The following is an 11,744-nucleotide window of genomic DNA, read 5'->3' as shown; positions in this document are numbered from 1 at the left end:
TTTTTTCTTTTTAAAATAGCCTCCCCATTGTACCTGCAGCCGTTTTTAACTCAATTTTTCTGACTTCTGCGCTATAGCTGAATTGACCTGGCTAATCCTCTATACCAAGCACTCTGTCATTAAGCATTTAAGTTGTCGTTTTCCCTTTGGAATGCTCTCAGCTGAGCTGTGTGGCTAATTTCACTTACCTTCAGGTCTATTCAGTGAATCCTGCCTTGACCACCGTATTAAAAATAGTAGACCGGCTCCTTAAGCTTGTCCTACTGTCTCGTTACCCTTCTCCACTTGTTTTTGTCAATAGCATTTGTAATTTTAATATTTACAATTGGTTGTGTATTGATGATGTGTTTTTTTCTGCTAGGATGTAACCTTCACAAGGAGGTAATTTTGTACTCTGGTGTATTCCAGCTACCAGAACAATGGCATGTAGCTGTTTCCTGGATTGCCAAGGAACTCAGTAATAGCAGTGGGACTGGAAGAGAGAGATTTTGGGAAGGTATTGACAGGATTTCAAAACAGTATGAGGCTTGTGGGAGAAATTTCCAAGTGGCAATATTCTAGTGGGGTGGAGATGCTCATGAGAGGATCAGCTTATGGGGAGTAGCTGCTGTGGGAGTAAATGAGATTTCTTTGAGCATGAAATGGACTGGCATGCTGGGTCTGACCTTCATAAGGTAACTTAAGAGACTGTAGCTAAACAGTGATTTTTTTTTTTTAATAACTTGGGTATAACAAATGAGCCTAGTTCTCCAGGGAAAACTTAATTATTGTCTTCTGTGTCTACTATGGATAAGCACTTGTGCACTATTTTTGCAATTTTTAGATGTAGGTGTCCACATATTTTTGAGACGGGGTCTCTGTCACCCAGGTTGGAGTGCAGTGGCGTGATCTTGGTTCACTGCAACCTCTGTCTCCCAGGCTCAAGCAGTCCTCCCACCTCAGCCTTCTGTGTAGCTGGGACCACAAATACGTGCCACCATGCCTGGCTAGTTTTTTGTAGAGAGGGTTTTGCCACGTTGCCCAAGCTGGTCTCAAACTCCTGGAATCAAGCAATCCGCCCACCTTGGCCTCCCGAAGTGCTGGGGTTACAGGTGTGAGCCACCACACCTGAGCCACATTTTTTGAGAAAATATACCCAGAAGTAACATACCAAGTTGGTGCACAACTAGGCAGAAAGGGATTCAGGGGAGGCAGTCTTGGGGCAGAGCCCATTTACAATGCCAAACCCATTCACATTCAACAGTTCTTAAAATTGACCAGGTTGTTAGTTGAATACAAGTGGTCAGCATGAACCAGTTTATTTGGAATAAATTACATTGAAAATTAAACATGTAGTCACACTGTACTGGCCTCATTTTCCAGAGGCTCTTTAAATATAGTTGTGATTCTCCAGGTTGTTACATTGAATATACGATAAACACGTTAGATTTTTCACAACACATCTCAGAAAAGCTTAAACTCCAAAGATCTTACCTGTTTGCTCCTTTCAAGAGTTATCAGTTTCTGGTTGACCTTTGATGGTTTTTAAGGAGTTTATGATAAACCTGAATATTTAGTATGATAGAGCATGAGCCAGATTAAATGCTTAACCTAATTTGCTGTACATATTTGCCAGTGGTTAAAAAATTTAAGGGTTTTTGGATTCTTGTGCGATGATGGCTTAAAAACTAGTAAAATAATGCCCAAGTGGCAGAGAAGGAGGACTCTCAGTACTGGGTTAGGAATTTTATTACTTAGGGGAGTTTATGGTAAACCAGCAAGTTAGAAAAGGGGGGCATGCTTTAAGCATAAGCTCTTAATGTGAAAGAGACAGTGAAGGTTAATTTGTGAACTGTGAGTACGAGATACTTTAAACAAAGTGAGAAAGAGAAAGCAAAACCTGAAAGATAAATTCCAGGTTTTTGTTATTCCTGTGGCTAACCTTTTTTTTTTTTTTCCCAAGCCCTTGATGTTAAAGAGAGGTTAATGAGTTGCCCAGTTGACATTAAAGAATTTTCCCTGGAGTTCTTGGGTCAGGGTGAATCAATGTGGCACAAAGGGGAAAAAACCCAGCCAAGTGATTGTTTTAAGTGACTTACTGTTTCTACATAGTTAGAGTAATAAAAACAGAATTGACTAGTTGTATGCGTGACCTTAGGTACATAGTTCTCAGAGGGAGATGTTAATACTAAAAAAATTCCTTGAAAATCATACCTCAAAACTGCCAACTTTGGGGTAGTGGGTGCAGCTGGGGCAAGGAGACTAGAGAAGAGTAAAGCAGAATTTTACTGTTCCCATTTGCCAGGCCAAATAGCAAATTGATTTCTCATCATATTTGCATTTACTCAAATTGACTAATTGTATTTTTACAGTATTTTGGAAACTTGTTCATTAGCAGTTAGATACTGAATTTAGCTTCAGACATAGGTGGACCTAGAATATAATCAAAACTGCCTTAATTTACTAAGGCTTTGTAACAGAAGAACGTCTCTTGTGACTGTTAAGGTCTAAATTGCTGGAGTGAGCAGACAAGGACAAATTAATGTATGCAGTGGGTGTTAAATGTTGACCTAAAGAAAGAATAGGTATAAATAGGTGCATATTTAAGTTTTCTTCCTCAGATGTTTAAAATACACTGAACAAGTCTCAAGAACAGAGTTCATTTCCCAAAGTGTCAAATTATCCAAGTCAGATCTAGTAATTAACCCTAGCCCAAAAGGGTGCTATATAAAACAATTTAAACTCATTCAGTATTCTGAATTGTTGCTTTACTTACAGTATAGCAACTTCTATTCACAGAGTTGAGTCTAGCTTTCCTTCATCCTGTGATCTTTCCATGAGATGAGGTTTTGGAAATTACTTTTATTTTTATTTTTATTATTTTTTTTTATTTTGAGAGACAGTCTTGCCCTGTCCCCCAGGCTGGAGTGCAATGGCACGATCTTGGCTCATTGCAACCTCTGCCTCTCGGGTTCAAGCGATTCTCCTGCCTCGGCCTCCTGAGTAGCTGGGATTACAGGTGCCCACCACCATGCCCGGCTAACTTTTGTATTTTTAGTAGAGATGGGGTTTTGCCATGTTGGCCAGGCTAGTCTCGAACTCCTAACCTCAGGTGATCCACCTGCCTTGGCCTCCCAAAGTGCTGGGATTACAGGCGGTGCCACCGTGCCTGGCCGGAAATTACATTATTTTAAAAAATCAGATCTAGTAAAAGATCACAAATTAGATATTCTATAGGTGATTTTTTGTTGTTAGAAAAATGAAGGGCTTGATCCTCTTTAAGAGTCTGTGTTGTAACTGGCTTAGACAAGCACTACTTACCCTATTGTGTTTTCTTTCCATTTTAGAACCACCCTGACCTAAAGGAGAAGGCACCTTATTAGAAGTGACAGAATATATATTATCTATCACTGACTACCCAGTTTAAAGAAGGGTGTTAAATCTCTGCTGTAGAGTCTAACAAAACAAAGTTTTGCTTTTGCTTTTTTTTTTTTTTTTGGACACAGTCTTGCTGTTGTCGCCTAGGCTGGAGTGCAGTGGCGCAATTTTGGCCTACTGTAACCTGTTTCCTGGGTTCAAACTTCTGCCTCAGCCTCCCAAGTAGCTGGGATTACAGGTGCCACTGTCACCACGCCTGGCTAATTTTTTGTATTTTTAGTAGAGACATGGTTTCACCATGTTGGCCAGGCTGGTCTCGAACTCCTCACCTCAGGTGATCTCCCCGCCTCGGCCTCCCAAAGTGCTGAGATTACAGGTGTGAGCCACAGCGTCCAGCCCCAGAGTTTTACTTCTTAAAAATAATTTATTGTACCACAAGTAGCTATTGGTAGAGATGAAAGCTAAAGCAGAATGATGGAATACAGTTGATGAAACTTTAAGAAGCAATGTAGCATGTAATCCTCATAGCTTACTGTCAGGATGAAGCCTTTATGTTTACATCCAAGAACTGAGTTCACTGATGTCAACACCTAAGGGAATGTTCTTTGAACCACACAGCAGAGACAATTGTCATCACCTTGGTTACAGCTGTATCTCAGATTGTCTTTCTATAATACAGGTATATCTCCTGTAAGTTACCAGCATATGGAACTGGGATGAATTTTTAAACTGTCTATCATGCAGACAGATCAGTTTAGCTAACAACTCTCTTGCCTTTCTTTAATGGTATGTGTTGTAAGTTTTTTGCTTTCCAAAACTTTCTTCTCTTCTGCCTTTGAAAAATGGCAATTGATAAGAGTAGAACCAGGGTGGAGAAGAAGCAACAACCCAGGAATATCAGTGGTTTCTTCTGCACAAGGAATAAGCAGACAGTGCACTCTGTATTTTCTTGGGTCTGACTGCATCTAGAACTACTGTTCTCAAAAGGGAAGCCCCTGCTGCTGATCACTTTGTTGTAAAATTGTATTGAGGATTTAGCTTTAAAATCAGATGTGAAGAATCCAAATCTGGGTTTAGATTTCTCTTCAGCCAGTTTGAATGCATAATAGCCTTTGATTCTGACTTTATCAATCAGGTATGCTGAAAAAGATAAGAAATTAACATTAATCACAAATGGACTATGAAGTATCTTTGAGGAAGAATTTAGTTTTCATTGAAACAAGCTAAAATTATGCCCATAATAAAGGTAGTGATTTTTATTAGAGGGTTTTTTTTGACATTTATTCTTTTATGATCTATGTAAAGGAGAAGGTGAAAATATGTATAATTTAAGTCTGAAAAATTTGTAGTGAAACTTGATCCATAAATAATCCAAAAACTCTTGGAGGAAAAAGCAAATTTAAGGAGCAGAGCAATGAAGGTTGTCACTTTTGTTTAAAGGGTCACAAGCAGAAAAACGTTGCCTATTTGGCCTGATTGTGAACCTCAGATGTGCTCTTGGTGCAGCCCAGGAATCACAGTTGGTTTTACCCACTCACTCACTGTCGCTCGCTTAAGCTACCATGATGTGGTTATTTCACATTGCATGCTTGTATCGAAACATTTCATGCATCCCATAAATTTATACACCTGTTTACCCACAACCATTTTTTTAAAGCCTAGCAAGCATGGTGAAAATAAGTAACCCAAAATAGTGACTGTTTATCCTGGGGAGTGAGATTTCAGGTGATTTTTTAAAAACTTCTCCACGTGCCCAGTTTTCTATAATTGGTGTGTGTTACTTTTATGATTTTAAAATTTTTTCAAAAATCCCATAGGCCAGTTTTCAGGACAAAATTCAATTGACAGGACTTGGGTGCCACAAATTGGATGCTGTCAGGCACCAGCCTGCTGCTCCCATTCTTTGTTCTTGTCAGGTAACAGGAATCTCGCTCTGCCCTGTGTCTGAAGGGGCCCCGCCCTTACCTTTCAGCACCTCCTGAAGGTACTTCCCTAGGTAGTACTTCCGGAGCCGGTCATCCTCCAGAGCCTGGTCGTCGATGCCACTGGCGGTGATGTAAATGTCCATGTCGCCGTAGTTCCTCCGGACCCACCGCAGCAGCTTGCGCACCCCCCAGGGAATCACAGCCAGGCGCGTGGGGGAGCTCAGGCGGGTGATGTCCTGCAGAAACTGGATGTCCCTGTCCGAGTCGTAGCGGCTGCCGGCCAGCTGCTCGTGCATCACGAACCTAGTGGTGAAGTGGTTGAGCGCGCAGAAGTCGACCGTGCCCTTGAGCAGCCTCCTTTCGGCCTCGGTGAGGCGCGGCAGGGCCGAGCTGGAAAGCCCCCGTCGGTGCTTGGAGGCAATGTATTCCCTCATGGCCGCGGGGTAGTCCCCGGTCTTGAAGAGCGGCTCGGCGAACCAGGCGATCTCGAACTGCAGGAAGCGCTCGGCCGCCCTCCAGTGCGAGTCAGCATAGGGGTTGGCGGGTTCCGCCCAGTCCGCGTGCAGCGACAGCGACACGGCCCCGCGCTGTGAGGGCCTGAACTGCCGGTCGTAGAGGCGCCAGGCCAGGGCGTGGGCCACCAGCAGGTTGTGCGCCGCCCCGTAGGTGTCGTTGCCAGAGCGGTTGTAGATGTCACTTAGCCGGTTAGGCTCGTTGATGGTGATCCAGAGCTTCACCAGGTCCCCCAGCTCCTGGAAGCACAGCCCAGCGTAGGCCTGGAAGGCCTCGGCCGTCGATGGGTTCAGCCACCCGTCGGCATGCAACAGAGGCTCGGGGAGGCCTAGGTGGGCGTGGGTCGGATAATACAGGGTGACCATCGCGGAGATGCCAAGCTTCAGCCCCTCACTGACCACGCACCTGTAGTACCTCAGGGCCTGTCGGTTCACCGCGGACAGGTTGCCAGTGGGAAGGACCGAGGCCCAATCCAGAGCAAACCGGTAGTGGGTGACTTTCATTCTTGCCAACATCTCAAGTTGTTTTTTGATGTTTACAAAATCTGTGCATTGAGCGGGTCGTGTTTTCAGCCTCACCCCTTCCACTCGGTGCAACAGTCTGTTGCCAGTGGCGTTCCACACGTACAGATGAGGATCGCTGAACTGTGGGGACGAAGCCACAGACTCGGGCTGTGAAAAACAAGCTCATTTAGGTCAAGCATGCGCTGGCAGATGGAGGCTCAAGTGATCTGCCTACCTCTGCCTCCCAAAGTGCTGGGATTACAGGCCACCACGCCAGGCCTATTCCAGCCCTTGAAATCTCCCAAGGAGACCAGAAAACAGAGAAGGAGCCACACCCAGGTCCTGGCTTGGAAAACAAGTTGTTTGAGAAAACATTGGGAAGCCATTTTCCAGTTCATTTAACTTTAAACCCTAGGTTATATATGGTGGGGTTTGAAGTGATTCTGTTCAAATGCATCAGGAAATTGGCTTGGTACACTCAATTAAAAGCAATTACAAAAGAGATTCTAAACCCTGCCATAAATTGAAGACAAAGTTGAAATTCCTGTTGTAGAGATTTCACTGAGAAGAGGAGGTTGACCCCAGGCACAATTCCTTAAAAAGGCTGGTGCGGTGGGGTAGGCAATGACCCCTTGCTTTTGCTGAATGCAAATTTCTAACTTGTATTTAAAAAATCCAGGCCGGGCGCGGTGGCTCATGCCTGTAATCCTAGCACTTTGGGAGGCTGAGGCGGGCAGATCACCTGAAGTTGGGAGTTTGAGACTAGCCTGACCAACATGGAGAAACACCGTCTCTACTAAAAAAAAAAAAAAAAACAAAAAAACAAGATTAGCCAGGCGTGGAGGCGCATGCTTGTAATCCCAGCTACTCTGGAGGCTGAGGCAGGAGAATCGCTTGAACGCAGGAGGCGAAGGTTGCAGTGAGCCGAGATCATGCCATTGCACTCCAGCCTCGGCAACAAGAGCAAAAACTCCATCTCAAAAAAAAAAAAAAAAGAAAAGAAAAGTTCAAGTGATAACACATTTGCATCCATCATGTCTCCCCGACCCATGTGCCTGTGAGAACATAGCATTTATTCATCCAACAGATGAATAAATGGGTTATGGGTGGAAAGGACAGTAGACTATCCCTAGAAACTCCCAAGGTTGACACTTGGATCTGACAGAGTCTCATTCTGTGTCTCTCCACGAAGGAGAGAGCCCTGGACTCCTGTTCTAGTTCTGCCCCTTTGAAACTCAGGCTTGGCAACTATATAGTGACGGAGTAATCGCACCCACCTCACAGGTGTGCTGTGAGGACTCAGTGACTCTGGGAAGGTGCTCTGGGAACTCTAAAGCGCTATACAAACACAATGTAGTCATGACTTGGGTTTCATTTTCCCTAGTGGCAATAATTGCCTGCTAGGCCCTTGAGTCCAAACTAAAACAAAGCCCTTAAGAAAAACATTCCCAAATTCAAGATTAATAAGGGAAAGTAAAAGTTAAGTACTTGTTTTAAAGTACTTCTTTTTCCCCTCATGACAGAATTTAAATACACCAGGAAAAAACTATAATTAACCTTTGGTAAATATCTTCCCTCTAATTGTTTTTTCGTGTGTCATCTTTCATAGTTTAATTACAAAACCATATCACTGCCCGTTTGCCATCTGCCAACCAGTTATCTAGAACATTAAACTAAGAGAACATTGATCATGTGAGCATGAAGTTAAATCCGTATATAATTCATTATTTGAGTAAAATCCTCCTAGCCTAGATGGCCAGTTTTAATGTTTTGAAAACTCAGAACATCATGGTATTGAAAGGATGTTTATAAAAGGCAGTCTTGCTATGGGGCAAGGCAAGATCAAATAAAAATGTCTTACGTTAAAAACCTTCAGAAAGCATTAATCTCAGCAAGTGTGTATGATTAGTCTGCTAAGAGGTTAATTTTCTAGTTAAAGATGATGCATCCCAATCCCAACCCCAGCTCCCAGAGCTTGTTTCTAAAATCCTATTCCCCACCAAAAGGACCTTGTACTCCTTGGAGAAATGGCTTTTTCCAGGAGAAGAATGAGATGAAGGTGGGCATCTTGTGCCAGAAAATAAGGAAGTGCTTAAAAACTGAAAGGGAAATGTGGAAAAGACAGAAACAGCTTGAGGGGGTCCCATTGACTAAATTTGAAACAACTTGAGCATCAAAAGGAACAATATCATAGTGACAATAATGAATTATAAAACATCATCCAGCTAATAAATGTGGAGGGAATAATCCGATTAGAAATTTACCATTTTGCAATTTACAAAGTAATGATTAAGGCAAGGTTCATGAAAGAATGTTTTGTTTGTTTGTTTGTTTGTTTATTTGAGACGGAGTTTTGTTCTTGTCGCCCAGGCTGGAGTGCAATGGCGCGATCTTGGCTCACTGAAACCTCCGCCCCCCGGGTTCAAGCGATTCTCCTGCCTCAGCCTCCTGAGTAGCTGGGATTACAGATGCCAGCCACCATGCCTGGCTAGTTTTTGTATTTTTATTAGAGACGGGGCTTCACCATGTTGGCCAGGCTGGTCTTGAACTCCTGACCTCAAGTGATCCACCCACCTCGGCCTCCCAAAGTGCTGGGATTACAGGTGAGCCACTGTGCCCGGCCCGGTTCATGAAAGAATGTTAAAACCATGGAGTGAAATGTTGTTGAGGAATAGGATATTCATAGAGTCCCAAGTATCAACATCAGATTTCTTCTTTTTTCTTTTTTTTTTTTTTTTTTTGACAAAGTCTCACTGTGTTGCCCAGGCTGGAATGCAATGGTGCGATCTTGGCTCACTGCAACCTCCGTCTCTGAGGTTCAAGTGATTCTTCTGCCTCCGCCTCCCAAGTAGCTGGGATTACAAGCCCATGCCACCCTGCCTGGCTAATTTTTTTTTTTTTTTTTTTGTAGAGACAGGATTTTGCCACGTTGGCCAGGCTGGTCCTGACAGGCCAGACAGGTCCTGACCTCAAGTGATACGCCCGCCTCGGCCTCCCAAAGTGCTAGGATTACAGGTGTGAGCCATCGAGCCTGGCCAGCATCAGATTACTTCTTAATTAAAAATGGAAAAGTTACCATATGGCACATATCACCTTTTTTTTTCTTTTTTCTTTTTTTTGGGGGGAGTAGGGAGGAGGGACAGGGTCTTGCCCTGTCGCCCACACTAGACTGCATCCTCGACCACCTGGGCTCAAGTGATCTACCCACATCGGCCTCTCAAAGTGCTGGGATTACAGGAGTGAACAAGTGTGCCTAGCCACAAATGCCACCTTAACCAAGAAATCTGGTAATACTACTTCAACCACAGTAATATCTTCAGTAATGAAACAAATTGACATCATTTACCTCCTGATATGATACAAAGGCACATCATCTATGTAGTATTATTTCCAGAAATGGTTAACTGAGTCATTAGACTCAGAAGAACAACCAGAGAAATCTACAAGCAGTTGGCCTGGACTCTTCAAACACGTCAATGCCATGAGGTGATTGTCCTGAATTAAAGGAAGCTAACAATACATGACAACCAACGTTTGATCTTTGCTTGCATTCTTAATCAAAGATTTTTTTAATCTATAAAGGACATTTTTGGAACATTAAAAAAATTGAATATGGATTGTATTTTAGATAGCGTTGAATCAGTGTTAAATTTCCTGGGAATCATAATAAGAATGTCCTGTTCTTAGGAGATACATGCTGAGATATTTTGGGGTGGAGTGTAATGATGTCCGCAATTTATCAAAAGTTTATAAAACAGAGAGGCAGAGGCCGGGTGCAGTGGTTCACGCCTGTAATCCCAGCACTTTGGGAGGCCAAGGTGGGTGGATCACGAGGTCAGGAGTTCGAGAGCAGCCTGGCCAAAATAGTGAAACCCCGTCTCTACTAAAAATACAAAAAATTAGCTGGGCATGGTGGGGGGCACCTGTAATCCCAGCTACTTGGAAGGCTGAGGCAGGGGAATCTCTTGAACCCGGGAGGCAGAGGTTGCAGTAAGCTGGGATCGCGCCATTGCACTCCAGCTTGGGTGATAGAGCAAGGCTCTGTCTCAAAAAAAAAAAAAAAAGGGGAGAGAGGCAGAGTTGAAACAAATATGGCAGCATGTTAACAGTCAGTCAGTCTTGATGAAGGGAATATGCATTTCTATTGTATGTTTGAAATTTTTCAAAATAAAATGTTAGAGGAGTAAAGAATGCTAAGAGGCTAGGGAAAATAAGATAGAAATGTGCAAAGTTAGGCTTAGTAATTTTTTTTTTTTTTGAGACAGGGTCTTGCTCTGTTGCCCAGGCTGGAGTGCTGTGGCACGATCACAGCTCACTGCAACCTTCCTCCCGGGCTCAAGCGATTCTCCTGCCTCAGCCTCCTGAGTAGATGGAATTATAGATGGAATTACAGGCCCACACAACCACACCCAGTTTTTTTTGTAGAGACAGGGTTTTGCCATAATGGCCAGGCTGGTCTCAAACTCCTGAGCTCAAGTGATCCTCCCACCTTGGCCTCCCAAAGTGCTGGGATTACAGGAGTTAGTCACCATGCCCGGTCTGGCTTAGTAATATTTTTCAAGTATTACTTTAATTTTATCAGTCTCCCTATAGAGGACATCTAGTTTTCTGTGTACACAGTGTCTATACATATATTTATTGGCTGATTTTTCAAAAAGCACCGTAATTTTTCTTGGCAAACCATTCATCTTTATTTATTTATTTATTTATTTATTTATTTATTTATTTATTTATGTTTGGGCTAGCCAAATGAAGCAGTGGGAGTAGAGAAGGAACAGAAATCTGTAACTGGTTGTAACCAGCAAGTTGTAAACACCACCACACTCAGATCAGCCTTATCCTCATTCTTAATCCAAGTGGTTCAAATGAATCTGGCTCTTTGCTGGGCTCCAGAGATGAGTATGAAACCCAGACCTGACAGATCACAGAACTGCTTTTCCTGACCTCATGATCAATTCTTGCTCTGAAATGTAGAAGGGGCAGACATTCACAGTATCTGAGGAACAGGTGGGTTTTAGCTGAAGCAGGATCTTGTAGGTTGGGTCTCCCATACAGGCAGGCAAAGAAACTCTTATATCTCCTGGGGTCTTTGCTAGGTCTGGAATTTTGAAATATATAAACCCAATTAAAGTGATAGGGAAAAAGACATTTTTGGAGCATTTAGCAAAATTTGAATATGAATAGTATTGAACTCTTCTGCCTCTGCCATGTGAAGGAAGAGGTAGGAACTGGCTCTGGAGGGGACACAAGCTGAAGATGAGACACTGTTTATTCTGCTCTCTATAACTTTCCCCCTTTAATCACCGTGAGCTCTTGCTAAAGTCTTGTTTAAATATCCACAGGGAGCTGGGTGCAGTGCCTCACACCTGTAATCCCAGCACTTTGGGAGTCTAAGGCAGACAGATTGCTTGAGGCCAAGAGTTCGAGACCAGTCTGGCCAACATAG

The 11,744-nt window shown here is 43.2% G+C and overlaps 1 protein-coding gene across 1 annotated transcript in view, besides 1 other annotated feature; it reads right to left on the bottom strand.

The window, feature by feature from the left end:
- The window catches only part of KLB (klotho beta), a 44,604-nt gene continuing 34,124 nt past the window's right edge, over nucleotides 1,265–11,744 (bottom strand). The window contains exons 4-5 of the mRNA NM_175737.4: nucleotides 5,323–6,466; nucleotides 1,265–4,497 (exon numbers count right to left, since the gene is read on the bottom strand). Coding sequence (NP_783864.1) covers nucleotides 4,112–4,497; nucleotides 5,323–6,466 — 1,530 coding nt within the window. The 3' untranslated portion in view covers nucleotides 1,265–4,111. The remainder of the gene's footprint in view (nucleotides 4,498–5,322; nucleotides 6,467–11,744) is intronic.
- Nucleotides 5,480–5,669: an enhancer, noted in NCBI's record as "active region_21458". NCBI's record gives its function as "activates an Ori minimal core promoter by ATAC-STARR-seq in GM12878 lymphoblastoid cells {active_cell/tissue: GM12878}" and the evidence as "EXISTENCE:reporter gene assay evidence [ECO:0000049][PMID:35858748]".

Source organism: Homo sapiens, chromosome 4, assembly GCF_000001405.40.
Source record: "Homo sapiens chromosome 4, GRCh38.p14 Primary Assembly".
Classification (NCBI taxonomy): domain Eukaryota; kingdom Metazoa; phylum Chordata; class Mammalia; order Primates; family Hominidae; genus Homo; species Homo sapiens.
Note: the sequence above shows the minus strand (reverse complement) of the source record. Positions and strands in the feature narration are given on the sequence as shown.